At 45.2% G+C, this 25,430-nt stretch overlaps 1 protein-coding gene across 8 annotated transcripts in view, besides 1 other annotated feature; it reads left to right on the top strand.

Annotated features, from left to right (window-relative positions):
- The window catches only part of POLA2 (DNA polymerase alpha 2, accessory subunit), a 44,024-nt gene that overhangs the window by 6,381 nt on the left and 12,213 nt on the right, over window positions 1–25,430 (top strand). For all 8 annotated transcript variants that reach the window (XR_007062468.1, XR_007062469.1, NM_001438747.1 and 5 more), the window contains exons 4-13: window positions 330–387; window positions 7,550–7,656; window positions 10,388–10,581; window positions 11,196–11,284; window positions 12,650–12,805; window positions 13,328–13,390; window positions 14,137–14,179; window positions 19,374–19,498; window positions 20,708–20,746; window positions 21,457–21,530. Coding sequence is in view for 6 of the 8 variants with exons in the window: in NM_001438747.1 (NP_001425676.1) it covers window positions 330–387; window positions 7,550–7,656; window positions 10,388–10,581; window positions 11,196–11,284; window positions 12,650–12,805; window positions 13,328–13,390; window positions 14,137–14,179; window positions 19,374–19,498; window positions 20,708–20,746; window positions 21,457–21,530 (948 nt within the window). In the remaining 2 variants the exon portion in view is untranslated. The remainder of the gene's footprint in view (window positions 1–329; window positions 388–7,549; window positions 7,657–10,387; window positions 10,582–11,195; window positions 11,285–12,649; window positions 12,806–13,327; window positions 13,391–14,136; window positions 14,180–19,373; window positions 19,499–20,707; window positions 20,747–21,456; window positions 21,531–25,430) is intronic.
- Window positions 10,928–12,127: an enhancer, noted in NCBI's record as "MED14-independent group 3 enhancer chr11:65046741-65047940 (GRCh37/hg19 assembly coordinates)". NCBI's record gives its function as "activates an origin of replication core promoter dependent on BRD2, BRD4, P300/CBP and CDK7 cofactors, and independent of MED14, by STARR-seq in HCT116 cells {active_cell/tissue: HCT116}" and the evidence as "EXISTENCE:reporter gene assay evidence [ECO:0000049][PMID:35650434]".

Here is a 25,430-nt window from a genome sequence, read left to right on the forward strand (position 1 = left end):
TTATTATTATTATTATTTTTTTTTTTTGAGATGGAGTCTCGCTGTGTCGCCCATGCTGGAGTGCAGTGGTGTGATCTCAGCTCACTGCAAGCTCCGTCTCCTGGGTTCATGCCATTCTCCTGCCTCAGCCTCCCGAGTAGCTGGGACTACAGGCGCCCGGCTAATTTTTTGTATTTTTTTTAGTAGAGACGGGGTTTCACTGTGTTAGCCAGGATGGTCTCTGTCTCCTGATCTCGTGATCCGCCCATCTCGGCCTCCCAAAGTGCTGGGATTACAGGCATGAGCTACCGTGCCCAGCCATTATTGTTTTTCTTAACCAGTGTTCTTAGAATTGAAGTGGAAGAAGAAGAGGAAATCCTCTTGAACTCTTACACCACACCTTCAAAGGTAAGTAAACAGTGTTTGGACATTGCATTTTACAAGTAACATTTTAAAATAGTTTCACAACATTTGAAGATCTGAGGGAAAAAATCAACCACTCTCATGCATTTCCTACTATATTTCCACTTATACATCTTCCTTTCTGATCATATGTCTAAATGTTTTACATAATGGCAGTCCTTATAAACATATAGTTATCCTGCTTTTCTCAGCACAACATAAAACATTTCTATAAACATAATTTCTCCATAATTGCCCTTTTTGAATAGTTTCATAGTTTTATACTATAATTGAATAATTCAGTTCTGTGTTGGATCCCAGTGTGAAAGGTCAAGTAGGGTAGTGGAAAAGCATTGCCTTCAAAGTCTGAGTCAGAAGACCTAGGTGACCTGGAGTGAGTTGTTTTATCTCTCTGAGACAGTTTCCTTATCCATAATATCAGGATTCATTCATTCAGTTATCCAGCAACAACTATGTGGCCAGGCGCAGTGGCTCATGCCTGTAATCCCAGCACTTTGGGAGGCTGAGGCAGGCGGATCACGAGGTCAGGAGATCGAGACCATCCTGGTTAACATGGTGAAACTCTGTCTCTACCATAAATACAAAAAAAGAAATTAGCCGGGCGTGGTGGTGGGCGCCTGTAGTCCCAGCTACTTGGGAGGCTGAGGCAGGAGAATGGCGGGAACCTGGGAGGCAGAGCTTGCAGTGAGCCGAGATCGCGCTACTGCACTCCAGCCTGGGCGACAGAGCGAGACTCCGTCTCAAAAAAAAAAAAAAAAACAACAACAACAACTATGTACTGCACTAGACATTGAGTAAACAATGGTGAATGAAACAGACATGGATGGGCTCTGCCCTCAAGAAGCTGACAGCCAGTGCACAATATCCCCCATCTTGGAGGGCTTGAAGAGGAAATAAATAGGTAAAGTATCAGGCCCTATGCAATGTATTCAGTAATGGTAACTATTCTTTATACTAACTAAATAAGTTTGTAGACATTCATAAACATGGAGTGAGCCTTAATTATTCAAAGTAAACTACATCATAAGAAAGAGGTAATTTACATTGCCCTATGCAATGTATTCAGTAATAGTAATTATTCTTTTTTGTTGTTGTTGTTGTTGTTTTGAGATGGAGTTTTCCTCTTGTTGCCCAGGCTGGAGTGCAATGGCACGATCTCGGGTCACTGCAACCTCCGCCTCCCGGGTTCAAGCAATTCTGCCTCAGCCTCCTGAGTAGCTGGGATTACAGGCATGCGCCACTACGGCCAGCTAATTTTTGTATTTTTAGTAGAGACGGGGTTTCACCATGTCAGCCAGGCTGGTCTCGTACTCCTCACCTGCGGTGATCCACCTGCCTCGGCCTCCAAAGTGCTGGGATTACAGATGTGAGCCACCGTGCCCAGCCCAGTAATTATTCTTTATACTAACTAAATAAATTTGTAGAAATTCATAAACATGGAGGGAGCCTTAATTATTCAAAGTAAATTACATCATAAGAAAGAAGGTAAGGGCTGGGTGCAGTGGCTCATGCCTGTAATCCCAGCACTCCGGGAGACCAAGGCAGGAGGATCAGTGACCAGAGATCATGCCGCTGCTCTACAGCCTGGATGACAAAGTGAGACCCTGTCTCAGGAAGAAAGAAGGTAAATAGTTTAGATATGCCTGTGGAGAGTAAGAGGGCCAAAAATGTGCCCCATGAAGTTGCTAACACAAAACCAGGTGCATATAATATTAAAAGAAATAATTAGGTGTTTGTTAGAGTTTCTTAAAATTGGAGAGACTATAACTCATTTGATTTTCCTCCTAAAGTGGTTTTCTGAGTCCATATCCCAGTGAAGGACACCTCCGTTCTTCCATTGACTCAGGCCAAGAACCTTGGAGACCTCCTTAAATCCTTTTTCTCTCACACCCCACATCCAACTTAGCTACCAGTCCTGTCATCCCTCTCCAGGATCTGGCCACCTCTCACCATTTCCACTGCTACCACCAGGTCCACAGCATCATTGTCTCCTGAATGATTGGGACAGCCTCCTAACTAGTCCATTGGCTTCTTTCTGCCATATCCACCTCTAACCACCTCTCCACCCAGCAGCCAGAGTGCTCCTTTCCAGCAAAAGGTCAGGTTTTCTTGCTCACATCTCTCCCACTGGCTTTTCGTCTTTCCTCCTGATATGCAAAGTTTGAACCAGCATATGTGAAGTTCTGTAGGAGCTGGCCCCCTCCTCCTTCTGTCCTCTTTCCCTGCTCCCCTTTGCTCTCTGCTTCTGCCGTGCCAAATATGGGTTCATTTCCTATGTCTCCTTGTCAGGGAACAAGCCTGCCTAAAAGAACAAAGCCCTTCTTCTGTTTTATTTTCTTGCTTTATTTTTCTCCTTATTATTCTCTTGCTTTATTACCACCAAACATGTTATATACTTACTTTTTTGTTTTAGTCGGCCTTCCCTCCATTAGATGGAAGCTCCTTGAGAATAGAGACTTTGTTTTTACTTGCTGCTGTTTTCCCAGCACCCTGGCATGTTAATAGTTGTTGAAAGATCTCTGAATAAGGGAGTGTGGTTGGCTCTCTCAATTGCAATACCAATGGGACCACCACGGTTTTATCTGGTTAACAGCTTCACAGATCCAGAATTTTATGTAATTTGTCTGTGTATCCAGAATTGATCATATTCCGGAGTCTGACTCATGGTAACCCAGCTGTCAGTAGACTGATGCGTAAGCCAGGTGCAAATTTGTTTACTTTACTATTGAAGTAGATACCCTTCCAATGACTGAAATCCCATATTTAGGATACCCCATTCCTGCTATGGAAATACTTAGGAGACTAAATTGTGAATCAAAGTTTGTGACTGTGAGGCCGAGTGCAGTGGCTCACACCTGTAATCCCAGCACTTCGGGAGGCTGAGGCAGGTGGATCACTTGAGGTCAGGAGTTCGAGACCAGCGAAACTCCATCTCTACTCAAAAAATTAGCTGGGCATGGTGGTGGTGCCTATAATCCCAGCCACTCAGGAGGCTGAGGCAGGAGAATCGCTTGAACCCGGGAGGTGGAAGTTGCAGTGAGCCAAGATTACACCACTGCCCTCCAGGCTGGATGACAGAACCAGACTCCGTCTGAAAAAAAAAAAAAAAAAAAAGTTTGTGACTGTGAATTCCACGCTAAATGAGTTGGAGTGAAATGTTGAGCAAACAATATGTCCAGGCTAGAGATACGTAAAATGCTTAGAACAGTACTTATCACATGGAAATTGTTCAGTCACTGTTAGGCCATGCATCAATGGCAGCATGATAAAATAGTCAAAGTGTGGCCAGGCATGGTGGCTCACACCTGTAATCCCAGCACTTTGGGAGGCCGAGGTGGGAGGATCACTGGAGGTCAGGGGTTCGAGACCAGTCTGGCCACCATGGTGAAACCCCATCGCTACAAAAGTACAAAAATTAGCTAGGCATGATGGTGGGTGTCTGTAATCCCAGCTACTCGAGAGGCTGAGACAGAAGAAACACTTGAACCCAGGAGGCGGAGGTTGCAGTGAGCTGAGATCATGCCATTGCACTTCAGCCTGGGCGAGAAAGTGAGACTCCATCTCAAAAAAAAAGAAAAGTGTGAATGTTGGCCTTTCCATACAAACAGTGCCAGGCTGAGGTTGCCTGACCCTTGTCAGGTCTTGGGAACAGGTGTCCCTCTGCTATAGAGGTAAATATGATATGTCAGTGATTTTAGCTTATCACTATTAAATATTTCACCTGTACGATTGACAGCTGTTCTTTTGCTTCCGTGTTCACCATAAATCTGCTGATGATTTGGCTGCCATGTCCCTAACGGAGAGAATGTGTTAGCCTGAGGACTTGACGTTCCCATACCCTTGGCAATTATATTTCTAGTAAATTAATAAACTGGCATCCTTGGTTATAATTTGATTTTCTCTGTGAGTGTGAGAATGTGCTTACCCTAGGATATGAAAATATGGTACCATTGGTGACTACATTTCTGATTAAAAATGATGAAACCGGCCACTGCGGTGGCTCACGCCTGTAATCCCAGCACTTTGGGAGGCTGAGATGGGTGGATCACCTGAGGTCAGGAGTTCAAGACCAGCCTGGCCAACATGGTGAAACCCTGTCTCTACTAAAAATACAAAAATATTAGCCGGGCGTGGCAGCGGGCGCCTGTAATCCCAGCTACTCGGGAGGCTGAGGCAGGAGAATTGCTTGAACAGAGGCGGAGGTTGCAGTGAGCTGAGATCGTGCCACTGCACTCCAGCCTGGGCAATCAGAGCAAAACTCCATCTCAAAAAAAAAAAAGAAAAGATGAAACTAGCCAGGCGCAGTGGCTTATGCCTGTAATCCTAGCACTTTGGGAGGCCAAGGTGGATGGATCACCTGAGGTCAGGAGTTCGAGACCAGCCTGGCCAAAATGGCAAAACCCCATCTCTACTAAAAATACAAAAATTATCCCGGCATGGTGGCACATGCCTGTAATCCCAGCTACTCAGGAGGCTGAGGCAGGAGAATTGCCTGAACCCAGGAGGCGGAGGTTACAGTGAGCTGAGATCATGCCACTGCACACTCCACCCTGGGCAACCCTCCGTCTCAAAAAACAAAAACAACAACAACAAAAAAACATGATGAAATTGGCATTAAGTGTTAATAATGAATCGTATGAGCTTGGTTAAAGGGAGCGCATCCTTGAGAACTGGTACTGGAGTTGGTGAACACTATTGGATTTCAGCCCTGAGGCTGAGGACTAGAACACCAGACTGTGCCTTGTTTACCAAAGTGCTGTCACCTTGCCACGTCTTGCGAGACAGACTGTCATTCTCTCAAAATATCCCTGCCCCACAACACTGGCCGTGGAGTGTTGTAGCCCACTGTATATTAGGAGAATCTTTTGGAGGGATAGTTTGAGAAAATGTGTTAAAATTATAAAATCTTTTTTTTTTAATTATAAAAAAAATAAAGGCAGGGTGTCACTATGTTGCTCAGGCTGGTCTTGAACTCCTGAGCTCAAGTGATCCTCCTGCCTCAGCCTCCTAAAATGCTAGGATTACAGGCACGAGCCACCATCCCTGGCCAAATTCATAAAATCTTTTTCTATCATTTGACCCAGTAATTCTCCCTAGGGGGAAAAAAAAAACTCTTCTGAAGAAATAATTCAAATTATGGGAAAAGCTGTATGCATGAAGATACGCATTTTAGCATTTTTTTAATTTAAAATCTTAATTTGCCAAATCACTTTTCACCTGAGACTCAGCATTACTTGTAATCACTGAAAATTACAAGCAACCCATAATCCAGCAATAGAGAAGTAATTATGTAAATCATTGTAGGTCAGTTTAATTAAATAACACAGCTACTAAAAAGGATAAAGACCTGTAATCCCAGCACTTTGGGAGGCCGAGGCAGGTGGATCACCTGAGATCAGGAGTTCGAGACCAGCCTGACCAACATGGCGAAACTCACATCTCTACTAGAAATACAAAATTAGCTGGGCGTGGTGGTGCATGCCTGTAGTCCCAGCTACTCAAGAGGCTGAGGCCAGAGAATCACTTGAACACGGGAGGTGGAGTTGCAGTGAGCTGAGGTTGCAGTGAGCCGAGATCGCACATCGCACTCCAGCCTGGGCAACAAGAGCGAAGTGAAATTCCGTCTCGGAAAAAAAAAAAGGGAAAAAGATTGGGTCAGGTGCAGTAGCTCATGGGTGTAATTCCAGCATTTTGGGAGGCCGAGGCAGGTGGATCAATTGAGGTCAGGAGTTTGAGACCAGCCTGGCCAACATGACAAAACCCCATCTCTACTAAAGATACAAAAATTAGCTGGATGTGGTGGCGGGCACCTGTAGTCCCAGCTACTCTAGAGGCTGAGGCAGCAGCATCGCTTGAACCCAGGAGGCAGAGGTTGTAGTGAGCCGAGATCTTGCCACTGTGCCCCAGCGTGGGTGACAGTGACTCCATCTCAAAAAAAAAAAAAAGATTAAAAATGTAACAGTGTGGGAAAATGTTGATAATTAATATAGAGTGAAAAAATTCAGCACATAAAATACTTAGGTTTATATTTAAACTAAGATTATGACTATAATTTGTATATTCTAATTTGTGTATTTGTAATCTTAATATACAAATTATAAGGCACCACGCCTGGCTTTTCTTTTTCCTCCTCAGACATGAGGTCTCGCCGTTGCCCAGGCTGGTCTTGAACTCCTGGGCTCAGGTGATCCTCCCACCTTGACCTCCCAGAGTGCTGGGATTACAGGCATGAGCCACCACCCCTGGCCTAGAAAAATATTAAAATACCATTAAGGAATATTCAAAACTGGTTATTATATCAGGGTAGTAGAATAAGGGATTTTTTTTTTAATCTATTTTCCATTGCAGCTGGTTTTGATGGTTTTGAATCTGTTCTCTGGCATTCTGTCCTGCAGTTGCCACCAGCTGACCACTCTGCAATATAACTTCTTAAACTTGCAGCCAGGAGGAGCCCTAGGGCAGGGAAAGCTGCAGACTAGCTGGCTTCCTGGCTGCTATCCAGGCAAGGATTTTGTTTTCTCTATTACAGTCGATTATCCTAGACTTTAGGGAGCAATAGGTCTCTGGACTGTAGGTTTCAGCCTCCGTTCTGGGCTTATCTTTGGATTCTTGTTGATGAGTCAAAAAAAAAAAAAAAAAAAAGGAGTGACCATCAGATGTTTGCTAACTCTTCAAGTATGAGCTCAACCTTGTTATCTGCCTGGAGTCATTTCCTTTGAAAATGTATGGTAGACTTTGCCAAAGTAAGTAGTAATGTCCCATTCCTTCTCAGGAAAATGTGTACACATAGATCAAAACTATGCATTGTAAAACTCATATCTGTTTGAAAACATAGAGGTAGGGACAGAAAGTAAACATATGAAGGATTTGACAGGACACATTACCAGCCTGGTGGTCCTTTTTGGAAAATGTTTGCTTTCTCGTAATTGCCTTCAAAATAGGGACAGTGTCCTGAATGTTGGTTACAGTTGTTGAAGATTTCTTTTTGAGATTATGCTTGGATGATGGGGCCTTAAGAAGAGAACCCACCCAGTCCTATTTTGTGCCTTCGTTTGGACATGTTCTCCCTTTTCTTCCAAGGTACTATACACTTAATTAGTATTGGGTCTAGTAGGACTGAGATTTTGTTTTCCTTTTTTTTCCCTAGGGTTCTCAGAAGCGAGCTATCTCTACCCCAGAAACCCCCCTAACAAAAAGGAGTGTGTCAACTCGTAGCCCCCATCAGCTACTCTCACCGTCAAGTTTCTCTCCAAGGTATGGATCATAATTCATTCAAGTGCCATAAAGCTGGCCTCCCCTCCCCTTTCTCTGGCTATCTGAGGAAGGCTAACAGCAGAGTTATTAATTAACTATAGGTGGGCATGTACCTCTGCAGTGAATTGGCTTGAAAGCCTATTGCTCTCTGCCTTCCTTGCTCTCCTTTTCTTTGTGGAAAATTACTGTTTCTTACGGTAATTAAGGAAACTCACTTTCCACCCACTTTTCTAGGGCTCATTTCCTAGATCGGGAACTGATATCTTGTATTGAAAACAACCTGTCTATTCAGAAGTCTAAGAGTCTTAACAGGTCTTGTCAGTAGAGGCAAGTAGGTTTCCACCTGCTTCTGTTTGTGTTTTGTTGGGTTTCTTTTTCTTTCTTTTCATCTAAAGTTTTTTTTTTTAAAGAAAAGCACATATCTTTGTTCATAATGTTTCATAACCTGTTTATTGTTTCCAAGTCAGGTTAGAACTAGTTTCTGAGAGTTTTCTTGTCACTGTGACTCTGCCCTGACTTAATTGGTATTTTGTCCCTCTGCCACCATTGCACATAAATCCACAAAGATCATATGTAATTTTTTGAAATCCATAAATGACACGTCTCATATTAGAGAATTCCATAGGCAAGTGCTCTGCTGAGTAGATGGGTTTTTAGGAGTTTCCACATCAAGATGAGGCTCCGGAGCAGTAGTATTAACCCTTCAGGGAAACACCAACTGCCAGGAGTCATTACCTCTACTTTGGATCACTTCTAGATGAACCAGAGCTTAAGATTGTTCAACTCTATCACTTTTTTTTTTTTTTTTTTTGAGATGGACTCTCACTCTGTCACCCAGGCTGGAGTGCAGTGGCACCATCTTGGCTTACTGAAGCCTCTGCCTCCCGGTTCAAGCGATTCTCCTGCCTCAGCTTCCCGAGTAGCTGGGTCTACAGGCGCTCGCCACCATGCCTGGCTAATTTTTGTATTTTTAGTAGAGACGAGGTTTCGCCTGTTGGCCAGGCTGATCTTGCACTCCTGACCTCAGGTGATCCACCCGCCTTGGCCTCCCAAAGTGTAGGATGTCAAGCATGTGCCACTGCTCTCGGCCTTTTCAGCTCTATCACTTTAGAAAGGTGGTGATAGAAGCTCTGCAGTCATTCAAGGTGAGTGGTCATTGGATTTTTTTTTTCTTTTCTTTCTTTTTTTTTTTTTTTTAAGATAGGCTTTTACTCTGTTGCCCAGGCTGGAGTGCAGTGGCACAACTATAGCTCACTGTAGCCTTGGCCTTCCAGGCTCAGGTGATCCTCCTACCTCAGCCTCCTGAGTAGCTGGGACTACAGGTGTATGCTACCAAGCCCAGCTAATTTTTATAATTTTTGTAGAGATGGGGTTTTACCATGTTGCTCAAGCTGGTCTCGAACTCCTGGCCTCAAGCAATCTGCCTGCCTTAGCCTCCCAAAGTACTGGGATTACAGGCATGAGCCAGCATGCCTGGCAGTAATTGGATTTTGAAGGACAGTTTTACTTTAGGGTAGTCTACTGCTGCTTTGGGGAGTTCTCAGGCTTTTTGGAAGAAAGCTTTCTAGACTTAAGAGCATCTTTGCAACCTGGTATGTAGGGATGGTTCTTATAGACGTGCCAGCACCATTGCAGGAGTTATATTCTCCAAATGTCAATACAATGCTCTGAAACCTGTAGATCTGTTTACAACTGTCCTCATGTGAGCATCTTGCTGCATTAAAGGGCCTGCTGTAATGGATGGCTCATGGAGCTTCCCAGGGAAGAGCTTGGAGAAGCTGGCAAAATGCTGCCTAGTCATTTTTTAATGCACACTAATAAAGCTGACAGCAGAAACTGGTTTTGTAATGTATGAAAGTAACTTCTAAACTATTCACGTAGAGGTGGCACTGGAGATTGAGATAATTAATTGAGCTCATTTTCTGTAGGCTGTGAAAAGAAAGAATGATGGCATTAATTGCGATGGTGCCCCACATAAAACTGGTTCCCGCAGAGTTTCAGTGCATTAAACAAAGCCTGTTTTAAATAGACCTCTCTGTACGGCGTGTTTACAACCAGAGGATTAGAAGACCTCACTGTCATCTAAGCAGATCAGCAATATCCATGTGTTCTTAGAGGTATAATTTACCAGTCAGGGAGTGGAAATGTGAGAACTTGGCAGTTGAGCCTAGAAAAATGGGAATGTTTGCACATCACCAGACTGTTAATTCATTACTTACCCACCTCCATAGACACTGGGGAAAATTGATTAATTTGAATTTCATTTTATTGTTGTTTCTACCTTGAACCATATTGTGAGTTTTTATATATGCTCAGCAAGTTTTAGCTTATCCACAGTTGCAGGCTCAGATGATGTTCCAATAAATGCTAAAAATTCATGAGAAGAAAAAAATGGGACTTAAAGTTTGCCTTTTAATCAATTCAGAATCTGGGGATCTTTTTGCCTTGCTTAGTTTTAATGCCAAGAGAACGACAACTTTTTAAAATACGTTTCTGTCTCTAAACTTCTCTAAAAATGTTTGGTATTCCTCAGCCTGGTATTCCTCAGCCCTTCATTCCTGAAATTCCTTAAAGGTCTGGGTATGTCCAACCCCATTAAACTGATTCAATTTATAAACTATGAGGCCACCTTCCTTTTCTCCAGTCCCCATTTCCAAAGGTAACCTCATTTTATTCTTCTCTCCCTTTAGATATGAACACAGTAATATTAACCTGTTTTGCTTCCAATTAGTGCTACTCCCTCCCAGAAATACAACTCACGAAGTAACCGAGGAGAAGTGGTTACCTCCTTCGGCTTAGCACAGGGAGTATCTTGGTCTGGGAGAGGAGGAGCTGGAAACATCAGCCTGAAGGTCTTGGGATGTCCAGAGGCACTAACTGGGAGCTACAAATCCATGTTTCAGAAGCTCCCAGACATTCGAGAAGGTGATTGTTTTTCCCTTTGAAATTCTGGTGGATATAAAACCACCTAGAAGGGTGTAGAGTAACAAAGCTTCAGCTAGGCTGGTAGAACAAGTTCCAAGGTTGCCTTTCAATGTATGAGTTGGTAGATGTCCTCATGGAAGCCCTAGTAATGGAGGGACACGGGCAATACTATCAGTGATTGCCCCAAGTCACTTCACTTTGCTAAAACGCACATAACCATTCCCAGCAGCAAAAACTTGAACGATGTAAAGGAATTCAACTTAAAGATATTCATGGTTCCTTCGTTAGAAGCCTTCTTCAGGTTGGCCTTGACTTGCCTAAAACCTCAGTGAGGACTTGAGTAAAGGGCAGACTTGGAGATGGGGTGGGGTTCATGCTGATTCCCTGGAATTGTGCTATGGGGTCTCCTGTGGCCAGATGGAAGGCCAGATTCAGCAACCAAATATCGGAAAATTGGCAAAGGTTTTAGAAGGTTTAAACTGGCCAGATGTCCAGGCACCCTTCCTGCTTCTGTAAAATGACTGACTTTAATATTTTACAATGTGCTGTATTTTCTCTTCTTGGCAAGTGAAATGTCTTAAACATAATACTTTTTTCCACTTCTGGGATTGTAGTTCTGACCTGTAAGATAGAAGAACTTGGCAGCGAACTCAAGGAACATTACAAGATTGAAGCTTTCACTCCTTTGCTAGCCCCAGCACAGGTAAGAGTTGTTCTAATAGTTCTCACTAATTAATATTACGTTTTTAAATCGATGACCAAGAGGCATCCTTCTTGCTTCCTTTTTCACTTCTTGTCTGTGTTCTAGTTTGAACATCTGTCTTGGTTGAATTTGGGAAAATGGGCCCTTCTGAAGAAAGATTTGTAAGTGCTGTCTGGTTTTGTGGCCAGAGAGTGATTTTCTTCCCACTTGGATTAGAGTCTTGCACATAAGCAGAGACTCAAGGCCTTGTTTCCCTTGGTGGTGAGTCAGGTAGCTCCCCGGGGATTTCCCACAAATAGAAGCATTCACGTATCGAGATAAAAGGACAGCAGCGACGGTGGGGTTTTCAGAATCTTGTTCTCTGGACAATGACTCACAGTCTCTCCCCTGGTTTGGTCTCTTGTTATAGACAAACTGCTGCCAATAGTATCTTTATATCATAGTTTAATCTGGCATATATACCAGTGCTTTCTCTCTAGAATGTTTTCTAATCTAAGGGGAAATATATTCTAGAAGTTTCTTTAAAGTACCTTTGTCAATGTTTACATTCAAAGAATGATCAGTTGGGGAAGTGATGCAGAACTGTGTCATAGAAGGAAGTGTTAGAGGACTTGGAAGGAAGTAATTGAGGGAAGGCAGGGAGGCACAATCACTGGGAAAGATGAGACTTCCTCTGTTTTCTCCCAAGAGTGGGAACAGAACAGAGGAAGCCATGGAGACAGAGATTTTAGCTCAATTAATAAAGAACTTCCTGTTAAGAGGTTGTATGGTATGTGGCTAAGGATATGGCTCTAGAGCCAAATTTCTGGTTTCAAACCCAAGCTTCACCCACAGTTTGACCTTGACTAAATTATCTAACCTTTCTGTTGCTTGTTTTCCTCATCTGTAAAATGGATACAGTAATATCCACCCGATGGTTGTTGCAAGGATTAAATGAGTTAATACATATAAAATGCCTAAGAATACATTTTAGAACAGTGCATGGTATTTAGTAAGCTCAAGAAATGTTAGCTATTATTAAGTAGTTATAGCTGCCCAAAGATGCAGTGGGCTGCCCTGGGGTGGTGAGGACAGGGTGGGGTAGGCATCCAGGGGCAAGTTCCCCTACACTAGAGATGCTCACACTTAGGCAGCCTCCTAGGAAGGCTCAAGTGCTGGGTGGATGGGTGGACAAGATGCCCTTTCAGAGTTCTTCCATCCTGAGAGTCAGTGATGACGCGGTAGTCACCTCAGGGTCAAAGCAATGCCCTGCCAAGAAATGTATTTGTTGTTTGCAGTTTGTTTTGCTATTCACCCTATCGACTTCAGATTTTGAGCTCCTGCTCCAAAGACTGTCATTCTTATGCTGTGACCTTCCTTTGGTAGGAGCCTGTCACTCTGCTGGGCCAGATTGGCTGTGATAGCAACGGGAAGCTGAACAACAAGTCAGTGATTCTCGAGGGAGACCGGGAACATTCCTCGGGTGCTCAAATTCCAGTGGATTTATCTGAGCTTAAGGAATATTCTCTGTTTCCTGGACAGGTGAGATTGGAGGAGTTCCACCAGAATGCAGGCGCACTCTTTACCCCTGTAGTGTAGGTGCTGTGCCATGCGCAGCTGCTCCTCAGTTCCTGTCTCTGCTGCCATGGGGTGCAGCTGGAGCACATGCCCCAGAGCAGACACCACTGTTGGGATTCCTGTTTCCCCCATGCTCTGACCCAGGCTCTGGGACCTGACTGCGCAGCCTCAAATCCCAACTCCCCGCTCCATGAGGTGCATGACTGTGCACAAGGTACTTAACCATCTAAACTACAGTTTCTTCACTCACAAAATGGAAATAATAATTCTTACCTCATAGGATTGTTGTGAAAATTAGATCACTTATATAGAGCATAATTATTATTACTAATGCAACGCCCTTAATTCGTTTTCTACAAAAATGCCCTAAGTTTATGATTACAGAATGAGAGTAGTTGGACAATGCTTTTAACTGCCTCAAAATAATGTATTCCAGACCTCATTGATCTCCACTGCTTAGCAATCCTGTTTGTTTTTGTCTTTCAGGTTGTAATTATGGAAGGAATCAACACCACTGGTAGGAAACTTGTTGCCACCAAACTCTACGAGGTACACAGCAGTACCCCCACTTGCCTCTTGGTTTGCTTCAGACAAAGTATGTCTGGAAGCTGTCTGTTCTAGAAACTGGTCCTTTTTAGGAGCCCATTTATTTGTTAGTCAGTTCTCCATCTGTAAGTGGGAACCCACCCCTAGGCCAGGGGTCAGCAAACCCTTTCTATAAAGGGCCAGACAGTAACTCTTTTAGACTTTGTAGCTATATGGTCTCTGTCACAATGACTCAATTCTGCCTTTGTCTACAAAAGCAGCCATAGAGGACTCTTAAACAGATGACTGTGGCTGTGTTCCCATAAAACTTTATTTAAATAGTGGGCTGCAGCCAAATTTGGCCCAGAGGCCGAAAGGTTACCTATCCCTGCTCTAGGCAACAATCCTCCAGAGATTTTCGTAGAATGCCAGGAAAAGTAGCAAGAAACCATTCTCTCCCATCCTTGCCTAGAAGTACACTGATACTTTAGGCACCTGTTTTGCTCCCACTTGTTGCTGGGTATTTTATGACAATTGAGTAGTGACCTCCCATTACCTGGGTTTCTTTGCCCTCTGAGCAGTATAGAAAAATGGCAGGTCCCATCAGATCCAGGGAGCAAGACAGAGGCACATCCTTCCCCTGCCCTCTCGCTCCTCCCCACTGTCCTCCCATCACACACCTGCACCACCCCCAACCTGGTGCCCTCCCCTTTCCTTACCAAGGTGATGCCTGGCGCAAGACCTTACTTGAGCTTTTCCCCTGTTTTTAGGGTGTGCCACTTCCATTTTATCAGCCCACTGAAGAGGATGCAGGTGAGTTTCGGTTCAAATATTGTTTTGCCAACAATGAGGATGGTAGACATGAGTCCAGGAGTGCAGTTTCCCAAGCCCAAGAAAGCTGCAGAAGCTGCTGAAGAGCAATGTGACCAAGCAGTGAGGGCGCCACCATCATGAGTTCGTAGGTTTTTTGTCACAAGACCCCTGGTCTGAGCCCAGTGAGCGTTGGTCGTGCTGTCGCCTGAGTTCTGCCTACATGAAGCATGTTGTTTAAAGACTAATGTTTAACAGGTATTTTTGAAGGTTGCCTTGGAAAGGAAAAGATGTACGATTTCAAAAAGAATTTATTTACATGCAGCATGGGCAGATGCGGTGGCTCACACCTGTATTCCCAACACTTTGGGAGGCCAAGGTGGGAGGATCACCTGAGGCCAGGAGTTGGAAACTAGCCTGGGCAACATAGGGAGACCCTGTCTCTACTAAAAATTAAAAAAAATATTAGCTGGGCTTGTGGTGCATGCCTGTAGTCCTAGCTAATCAGAGGCTGAGACAGGAGGATTGCCTAAGCCCAGGAGTTCAAGGTTGCAGTGAGCTATGGTAACACCATTTTACTCCAGCCTGTGTGACAGAGCGAGACTCTGACTCTTAAAAAAAATTAAAATTAATTAATTTTTTGAAAGTATAATGTGGCATCCTGGATTGGATCCTTGAAGAGAACGGGAACATCAGTGGAACAACTAGCAACATCTGAATAAAGCCAGGAATTTACTTTTTTATTTTTCTGGCTCTAACACTCAACCTCGAGAATCCAGGAATTTAGTTAACAGCGATATACCAGCATTAATGCCTTAATTTTGACAAATGTTCATGGTTACCTAACATGTTAAGATTAGGGGCCACTGGTGAAAGACACACAGGAACTCTGTACTATCTTCATAACTTCTCTACAATTCTAAATTTGTTCTAAAGTGAAAACTTAAAAATAACTTCCTTTTTTTTTTTGAGATGGAGTCTCGCTCTGCCCCCCAGGCTGGAGTGCAGTGGCAAGATCTTGGCTCACTGCAAGCTCCGCCTCCCGGGTTCAGGTGATTCTCCTGCCTCAGCCTCCTAAGTAGCTGGGATTACAGGCGTACACCACACCCGGCTAATTTTTGTATTTTTACAAAACCCCATAGTGATGGGGTTTCACCATGTTGGTCAGGCTGGTCTTGAACTCCTGACCTTGTGATCCGCCTGCCTTGGCCTCTCAAAGTGCTGGGATTGCAGGCATGAGCCACCATGCCCGGCCAAAAAGAATTTCTTTAAAACCCTAGTGTTATGTGGTAACTAATCTAGTTGTGGAAAGGCAAAAAGAAAGTTTGACAAACTTTGCTTCTAAATATTTCAACATAATTTCAGCACTTCACAGGGCTGAGGTGGGAAGATCACTTGAGCCCAGGAGTTTGAGACCAGCCTGGGCAATATGGCGAAAACCTGTCTCTACAAAAAAAAAAAAAAAATTAGCTCGGCATGGTGGCATGTGCCTGTGGTCCCAGCTGCTCAGGAGGCTGAGGTGCGGGGATCACTTGAGCCTGGGAAGTCAAGGCTACAGTAAGCCGTGATCATGCCACTGCACTTCAGCATGGGTGAAAGAGTAAGACACTAGATAGATAGATAGATAGATAGATAGATAGATAGATAGATAGATAGAATTTATTTATTTCAAGGTGGCCAGGTGTGATGGCTGACTTCTGTAACCCAGCACTTTGGGAGGCCAAGGTGAGAGAATTGCTTGAGCCCAGTTTAAGTTTAGCCTCCCGGCACATAGTGGGTCTGCATCTCTACAAAAAATAAAAACAAAAAAAATCAGCTTGGTGTGGTTGTGCACACCTGTATAGTCCCCACTACTTGCGAGGCTGAAGTAGGAGGATTGCTTGAGCCCAGGAAGTCAAGGCTGCAGTGAGCCATGATTGTGCCATTGCACTCCAGCCTGGGTGTCAGAGTGAGACCCTGTCTCAAAAAAATATATGTATGTATTTCTGTATTTCAAGGCATTGTTTTTTTTTTCTTTTTTTTTTTTTTAGACAGAGTTTCACTCGTTGCCCAGGTTGTAGTGCAAGGCGCCATCTCGGCTCACCGCAACCTCCACCTCCCGGGTTCAAGCGATTCTCCTGCCTTAGCCTCCCAAGTAGCTGGGATTACAGGCATGCACCTGTAATGCCTGGCTAATTTTTGTATTTTTAGTAGAGATGGGGTTTCTCCATGTTGGTCAGGCTGGTCTCAAACTCCCAACCTCAGGTGATCTGCCCGCCTCGGCCTCCCAAAATGCTGGGATTACAGGCATGAGTCACCACACCCAACCCTCAAGGCATTTTTGTAAGCACAGTGGAGCACTGTTAAGGATTAGCAACCAGATCACTGATACTAGCATGTTGTCAACACCCCATGCATGTAACAGTGGCCAGAGCCATTCTTGGAGATGACCTAGAATCAGGAGTGAAATTTAGGACCTTGTGATATTGCACATTTTATCAGAAAACACAAGTTTGGCCGGGCGTGGTGGCTCATGCTGGCGCAGGAGGATTGCTTGACCACAGGAGTTTGAGAGCAGCCTGGGCAACATGGTGAAACCTCATCTCTACAAAAAGTACAAAAATTAGGCCAGGCGCAGTGGTTCACCCCTGTAATCCCAGCACTTTGGGAGGCCGAGGTGGGCGGATCACACGGTCAGGAGATAGAGACCATTCTGGCCAACAAGCTGAAACCCCATCTCCACTAAAAAATACAAAAATTAGCTTGGCTTGGCAGCGTGTGCCTATAATCCCAGTTACTCAGGAGGCTGAGGCAGGAGAATCGCTTGAACCTGGGAGGTAGAAGTTGCAGTGAGCCGAGATCGCCAATGAACTCCAGCCTGGCGACAGAGCTAGACTCTGTCTCAAAAAAAAAAATTAGCTGGGTGTGGGCATGGTGGCATGTGCCTATAGTCCCAGCAACCTGGAAGGCTAAGGTGGGAGGATCACTCTCCTGAGTCCAGGAGTTCAAGGCTGCCATGAGCCATGATCATACCACTACTGCACTCCAGCCTAGGAGTGAGAGTGAGATCCTATCTCAAAAAAAAAAAAAAAAGAAAAAGAAAAAAAAGAAAATACAAATTTATAGGGGGCAAGGGTGGCATGCTGGTATTAGGTCAACTTCAGGTAATGAAATCAACCTGGCTGAGATACCAGGAGCCTGAGCTGTGTACCAGAGAAGCCTTTGGAAACAGTTTAACAGGTTGTTAATGAACTTTTGTACAAGGAATTAAATGAGGCACTCATGGAGATACAGAATAAGACATGGCCCTCGCCCTCCAGAGACTCACTGCTTACACTGGGGCTCACATCTCCTGTAGGCTTCTCAGAGCCAAACTTAACTTTGTCCCCTACCCCACCACCACATGAAACCTGCTCTTCACCTTGAATGCTCTGTCAGTTCATGGTATTATTACCATGATAGACTGAATCACAGCCCCAGGAATCCCTGGAACCTGTGAATATTTTACCATTTGTGGTAAAGGAGACTTTGCCCGTGTGATTAAGTTAAGGCTGTTGAGATGGGGGATTAGCCTGGATTATCCAGGTGGGTCCACTATAATCACAAGGGTCCTTATAAGAGGAATGGCAAGAGAATCAGAGTCAGAGCTTAGAAATGTTAGGCTGCTGTGATTTGAGGAAGCCTAAAGAAAAATTTTATTTCAAAATAGAGAAATCTTAGGCTTCTGGCTTTGCCGCTGCAGGTGGGGCCATGAACCAGGGAATGCAGGTGGCCTCTGAAAGCTGGAAAAGGCAAGGAAATGGATTCTTCTCTAGAACCTCCAGACAGGAGGAACTCAGCCCTGCCCACACCTTCAGTTTAGGATTTTTGACCCCTGGAACTGTAATATAATAAATTCGTGGGCTTTTTTTTTTCTTTTTTTTTGAGACAGTCTCACTGGAGTGCAGTGGGCATGATCACAGCTCACTGCAGCCTCAACCTCCCAGGCTCAAGCAATCCTCCCACTTCAAGTAACTAGAACTATAGGCTCAGGAGGTACGCACCACTCTGCCCAGCTAATTTTTGTATTTTTTGTAGAAACAGGGTTTCATTATGTTGCCTAGGCTGGTCTCGACCTCCTGAGCTCAAGGGATCCTCCCGCCTTAGCCTCTCAAAGTGCTGGAATTACAGGCGTTGAGCCACCACACCTGGCCAAATTCGTGTTGTTTTAAGGCACTAAGTTTGTGATAACTTGTTATAGCAACAATAGGAAACTAACACAACAGCATGTTAAGAAGCCAGGGATCTTTGGATTTTGTTGTTGTAAGCCACAGAAACTGGCTCAGACTAACAAGAAAGCAGGAATTTATTAGGGGAGATCCAGGTAGCTCACAGACTGGACACGTGGCTAGAAACCGAGGCTTGGAACCAAGATGAGAGCCCAGGAACTCTAGCATCCAGGTAGCAGGAATTCCCCAGCTGTCTCATCTGGGCACCTCAGCTGGAATAGGTTAGCTCTAATCTTTTTTCTCTCCTTGGATCGTTCACCTCAAGATTGCAGACCCTGGGAGGAGAGTGTGAATGGCCTTGTGCCATTCTGGGTCATGTGCCTGCCCTTGGCTAGAGGAAGACAGAGCACCCAATTTACAGCCCCATGTAGACTGCCTTGTGGAGGGATGGGCTGATTCTCCAAAAGGAAAGCAGCTGCTGTTAGGAAAAAGGCAAAGCGTGATGGGTGGCCCCTGCACCCCATCACCCTGGAGTCTCCCGTTCCAGTCTCCCATTCCCCGGCCTGTCTTTCTGGGCTCTTCAGTACCCCACATTCTCCAGCCACACTGGACGACCAGACATTTCCTAACACTGAGCACACTCAGGTCTCAGTGCTATCCTGTACCCTGCCTTGCCCTTGATCCCCAAAAATTCTCAAACGTGTTAGCAAATTCCACCTTGGTAAATTCTTTCCTGACTGCCACTTTCCTCGAATCTTTCATGTGCACAGCTCATAAAGTTTCTACTGCATGTTCTAGGTATTCGTGTACCTGCCTGTCTCTGTCTCTATCACCTAGTGGAGTGTTCTTGGAGGGTGGACATGAGGTCTTCCTTACCTTGGGTCCCCAGAGTTTCACACATAAAGGACTCAATGAGTTAAATCCTGTGGCATTTCCCATCATTGTCCTTTCTCCTCCCACCATTCTAATACTAGTCCTCTTCTAATCAAGACCTATAACCTCTGTCTTAGACTTTGAGCAAAGCATGGTCCTGGTTGCCTGTGGACCATACACCACATCTGACAGCATCACGTATGACCCCCTGCTTGACCTGATTGCTGTCATCAACCATGACCGGCCAGATGTCTGCATCCTGGTAAGAGGCACCAGTGGGAAAGCTGAGGAGTCAGCCTTGGAAAATGGCTTTAATGAAGTTCTAAATTTTTAGGAAGCATGTCAGTCCCTCCTCCTTTTAGAAAATATCTTTTCATTCTTAATCTACATCTTTGGAGAGGTATATATATCTATGGGCCTTTGCTAGATTTAAAAGCCCAACTTTGGCCGGGCGCAGTGGCTCACGCCTGTAATCCTAACACTTTGGGAGGCCGAGATGTGTGGATCACTTGAGGGCAGGAGTTCTAAGCCAGCCTGGCCAACATGGTGAAACCCCATCTCTACTAAAAATACAAAAAAATTAGCTGGGCATGGTGGCAGGCACCTGTAATCCCAGCTACTTGGGAGGCTAAGGCAGGAGAATTGCTTGAACCTGGGAAGCAGAGGTTGCAGTGAGCTGAGATTGCACCACTGCCCTCCAGCCTGGGCAACAGAGTCAGACTCCATCTCAAAAAATAAAAATAAAAGCCCAACTTTTTTTTTCCACCCTTCGTTGATTTTACAGTATTCTTACTTCTTTCTCATTACTCCAACTTCTGAACTAATCTCTTTTTAAAGCTCAAAATACTATTATTAGTATGGTGATCAATTTACCTTGCTAGATTTAGAAAGTCAGAAAACCCAGTGTGCATTTTTATTGTTCGTTTGTTTTTTGTTTTTTTTTTTTTTTTTGGGACAGAGTTTCACTCTGTCACCTAGGCTGGAGTGCTGTGGTGCGATCTCGGCTCACTATAGCCTCCACCTCCTGGGCTCAAGTGAGCCTCCCCTATCCTCCCTGAGTCTTCCGAATAGCTTGGACTACAGGCACACGCCACCATGCCCAACTAATTTTTGTATTTTTTTGTAGAGAGAGGGTTTCACCATATTGCCCAGGCTAGTCTTGAACTCCTGGGCTCAGGCAATCTGCCCACCTCAGCTTCCCAAAGTGCTAGGATTACAGATGTGAGCCCAGTGTTATAGTGGTTATGGGGCTCTGGGAGCCTCCCTCCATCTGGGGCAAACGTGTTTCTGCCTGTGAAATTGGCTTGGCGCCCCGCCAGCCCATCTGCTAACTGTCCCCAGGCTCTACAGGCAGCCTTGGAGGGACAGATGAGCCCTCCACAGAGAACTGCCAGAGGAGGTATCTGAAGTCATTCACAGACACAAGTGATTCTGATTTGTTCTTTTGGTGTCTTTGTTTCTCCCCTTGCAGTTTGGCCCTTTCCTGGATGCTAAGCATGAACAGGTGGAGGTGAGTGGGCTGGGGTGGGAAGGGGTCCTGGGTACTTGAATCCAGTCAGGCTCTCACTTTTCATTTTTTAGTGTTTATCCCACATCTGTAACAAACACATTAAGTCCTGTGGCTAATCAGAAAATCATTTTAGCAGAGCACTTTATTAATAAAGATCTGGAATCCAAGGGCCTCCTTTCACCAGAATACAAGGCTGTCTGGAAGCTGGGGGAGGGACATATAAGTCCTAATGTTCCTTTGTTTGTGATGCCTGCTGCTAAGGCACAAGAGCACTAGCACAAATGCAGGTGTCTGGCAGTCATGGGCTGCCCTGTGAAAGAACCTGTCCTGGCCAATACCCCAAGCTTATAACTCATCTTGCTGTCCTTTGCATAAAACACGAATGGTCCTTCCTGGGACATCTCCATGGCTGAGGTCTGGGACCTCCAATCCTTCGTCTCACGATACTTTACCTTCCATGGAAAATATTTCAAAGTACTCTTTCTTTTAGTCTCTCTCAGATTGCATTCAAGAGGGTTAATTCCCACATCTCTTCTCCTCCCTTCGACTAGACTTAGCTCCTTAAGACAAAGACCATGTCTTTTTCATCTTTGCGTCTCCTTCAGCTCCTAGCCCAACAGCTGACTTCTATGGGTCACCTAACAATGTTAAACAAGTGAATAAACACCAAACATCTGCCGTCTAAATCTGTCTCCTTTCCTTTCTTGCAGAATTGTCTACTGACAAGTCCATTTGAAGACATTTTCAAGCAGTGTCTACGAACAATTATTGAAGGCACAAGAAGGTCAGATTTCAAAATACTGGACAGAACCTTAAGCTTCTTAGGTTTCTCCAGAGCTTCCCATTAAGAAACTGAAACTGCTTAAAAGTCGTGGCAGGGCCAGGCTCAGTGGATCACACCTGTAATCCCAGCACTTTGGGAGGCCGAGGCGGGCACATCACCTGAGGTCAGGAGTTTGAGACCAGCCTGGCCAATATGGTAAAACTCTGTCTGTACTAAAAATACAGAATTAGCCAGGCGTGGCGGTGGGCACCTGTAATCCCAGCTACTTGGGAGGCTGAGGCAGGAGAATCACTTGAACCTGGGAGGCAGAGGTTGCAGTGAGCCAAGATCGTGCCGTTGCACTCCAGCCTAGGCAAAAAGAGCGCAACTCCATCTCAAAAAAAAAAAAAAAAAAAAGCTGGGCGTGGTGGCTCACGCACTTTGGGAGGCCAAAGCAGGCGGATCACCTGAGGTCAGGAGTTCAAGACCAGCCTGATCAATATGGTGAAACCCTATCTCTACTAAAATTACAAAATTAGCTGGGCGTGGTGGCACATGCCTGTAATCCCAACTACTGCGGAGGCTGAGGCAGGAGAATCTCTTGAACCCAGGAGGCAGATGTTGCAGTGAGCCGAGACCACACCATTGCACTCCAGCCTGGGCAACAAGAACAAAACTCCTTTTCCAAAAAAAAATCATGGCAGTTCCTATTCTTTCCTTCCTTTTGAACTACCGAGATCAGCTAGAACCCTTGAACTTCAAGTGCAAGTTAAGAGGCATCTCTGTAAAACACAAAGATAAACATACTTGACAAGGCTGCATCGGCTCTCACTCTTTGGTTGCTCTTTCTCTTCTATACTTAGTTCCTTTTCTCACTCCCTTTTGTATAAACTAATATTCCACGGGAATCTTCCCAGGATGGTTTTGAGAAGTGTTTGATGACTTACGCAGTGAAATCCTGTGAGACCCCAAACATCTTGTTGTGTAAGTGATTGTATTGGGTAAGCCCAAGTTCCTCCCAAGTCAGTGCTTCCCCAGGGTGCGTGGGAAGCTGCCAGTGGCTACAGCTGGTGGTGATAGAAACTCTCAGTGAGGGTGGGGCCTTGAATCCTTGCCATAGACCAAACGGAAGGAACTGTGAGAGGTTACAGCAGTGATGAGAGAGCTGTGCAGTTCTCATTTGAGAGGAAAGTCACTGTTCCAGGAAGAGGCTAAAGCCGGAAGTGGAAAGTTATTCAGAAATCTGACATCCTCCATTCCTGTCCCTTTTCCCCAGTGCCAGGGTTTGAAAGAAGTTGGTATAGGTGGTAGATCTCCTCACAAGATCTGCATGCTTGTAGCTGAGCTAATAAAATACAAATATTCCTGAGGCTAAGCATTTAAAAACGAGTCTGTCACAAAGGTGGTTTTTAAAATAAGATGTCTAACCTTCCGCCTTTTAGCCATGAGAACTGATCCCAGAATCAATAAGTTGTAACATTACCTTCTTGTACCAGCAGTGTGGGCCAGGATGGTAGATGTCACAGCTGGAATAAAGAACATCCCCCAACTCACCCCAGAATCAGAGACTTGGGTTGTGCCAGTGACAACCATGTCTGGTTCTGCCCTTTCCTCCCCTGCCTCCCTCAGATGAAGGTGATGCAGGTGCCTTCCCTCTTCCCCAGATTTGCTGTGATCCTGGTCAAGTTCATCAGGCCTGGAGAGTGGTTGGAACTCCTCAGGAGATAGACCCCCAAAACACAGGAGCAGGGCTGTGTTCTTTTGTCAGCCCTTGGGGATAGGCAGGGACTGTGTTGTAGTGCCCTAACACTGGCTGGGTGCTTTCAGTTTGAGGTCGGGTTCTGTTTTTGGTTCCTTACCCCGTGTGGTATTGACAGCAGTGATAGAAATAAAGCACAGATGAGGCATTGTCACACTGGGGATGAGAGCCCAGCACCACCAGGCACTTTCATCTATGGCCAGTGTGTGCCACAGGGCAGGGGGAGCTGCCCCACCCTTCTAGAAACAGTATATAAACAGTTCTTGGGCAGAGAATTTCTTTGTATTCCTGAGAGGTCAGAAATGCAGAGCATTAAGCTGAGTCATCATTAGTAAAAGTCAGAGCCAGGCTAAGCACGGGGCTCACGCCTATAATCCCAGCACTTTAGGAGACTGAGGCGGGCAGATCACTTGAGGTCAGGAATTCAAGACCAACCTGGCCAACACGGCGAAACCCCATCTCTACTAAAAATACAAAAATTAGCCAGATGTGGTGGTGGGTGCTTGTAGTCTCAGCTACTCGGGAGGCTGAGGCAGAATTGCTTGAACCCAGGAGGTAGAGGTTGCAATGAGCCGAGATCGCACCACTGCACTCCAGCCTGGGCGACACAGCAAGACTCCATCTCAGAAAAAGAAAAAGAGCCAGTGAGAAAGCACCTCAGAGAAAGCGAGCAGAGCCCGCGGTTCTCGTCCTGTTTGCGGGAGCAGCTGGAGGACCCTCCCGCTGTGACGTACGAGGTTGTGCAATGCTGAGCATAGTTGGGATGTTTTTCTGATCCCTCCTTCTATAGGCGCTTTCTAACCATGAGCAGGAAGGCTATTTCCTCCTTAACTATTGCCCTTCCAAAGCCTACACTGAAACAGGGCAATTTTGTCCCTTGAGAGCAGCCAGCTGCACCTCAGTCCTTTGTGTTTATCACAGATGTCAAGCCCTTGAGATGTGGAGCACAGATTGTCCCATTCAAGTTACCCTGTGGCCTGTTTACCAGACCCTGGCACCCAAATGGTGGACTGGATCACCCTAGTGAGCTTCTCAGTGTCAAAGGGACAATAATGAATATGCAAACACCTTTGGTCTCAGGATTCTGATTTTCTGTTATAGACATCTCAGTTCACACTCTGAGAGGACACCACAAACAGTGATAAGGGTGACAGCTGTCACCAGCACCTTTATCACATGTGAAAGTGTATGTATGCCTGAGAAGTCCACATGTTTTAAGCAAGAGACAGAGATGGAAGTGAGAGCTATTGGTGGATTTTAAACATGCCCGCAAAGTAATACCTTATGCCTATTTGATTTATAAACGGCCCCTCTGCCAAGGTCATCTTAAGGGAACCAAGGAAACGGGGCTTTCTTCCTCTTTTGTGTGGCTGGGAAAAATAAATAGTTGGCCCCCAGAGTTACAACTTTCTTCTTCACTTGTATGTTGTAACCCTAGAGATTCTCCTGCTCCATCAAAGGAAACATCTGCTGTCATCTGTGCTTTTACTGTTGCTGTTAAATATTTCTTTCATTTTTGCATGACAACCTGCTGAGAAATAGAAACTCAGGGCATTATTTCCATGTGTGAGAGGGGAGGGATGCGATGGCTCAGGGAGAGGCCGCTTGGGCTTTTCTGCCTCCCACTGGAAATGTCTGTGTCTCGGTTGTCCAGTAATTATGGCCCAGTGTTCAGTCAGTCAGAGGGTTTCAGCTGGATCTTCTAAATACGAAGCCAGGCCAGGTGTGGTGGCTCACACATGTAATCCCAACACTTTGGGAGGCCAAGGTCGGTGGATCACTTGAGGCCAGGAGTTTGAGACCAGCTTGGCCAACATGGTGAAACCCTATCTGTACTAAAAATACAAAAATTAGGTGGGTGTGGTGGTGTGCACCTGTAGTTGTAGCTACTCGGGAGGCTGAGACACAAGTATCACTTGAACCCAGGAGATGAGGTTGCAGTGAGCCCACATCATGCCACTGCACTCCGGCCTGGGCGACAGAGTGAGGCTCTGTCTCAAAAAAAAAAAAAAAAAAAGCAGTCTCAGGGTCTTTTTAGTATGCCTGCCTTCTCCCTAGGAAAAATGCCCCAGCTCCATGCACCCTACCAAGGTGTGGCAGGGACACTGTTTACTGCCTGCAGGCTACACCTGCTTAGAAGGTGTAATGAGTCCAAGCTGTGG

Source organism: Homo sapiens, chromosome 11, assembly GCF_000001405.40.
Source record: "Homo sapiens chromosome 11, GRCh38.p14 Primary Assembly".
NCBI lineage: Eukaryota > Metazoa > Chordata > Mammalia > Primates > Hominidae > Homo > Homo sapiens.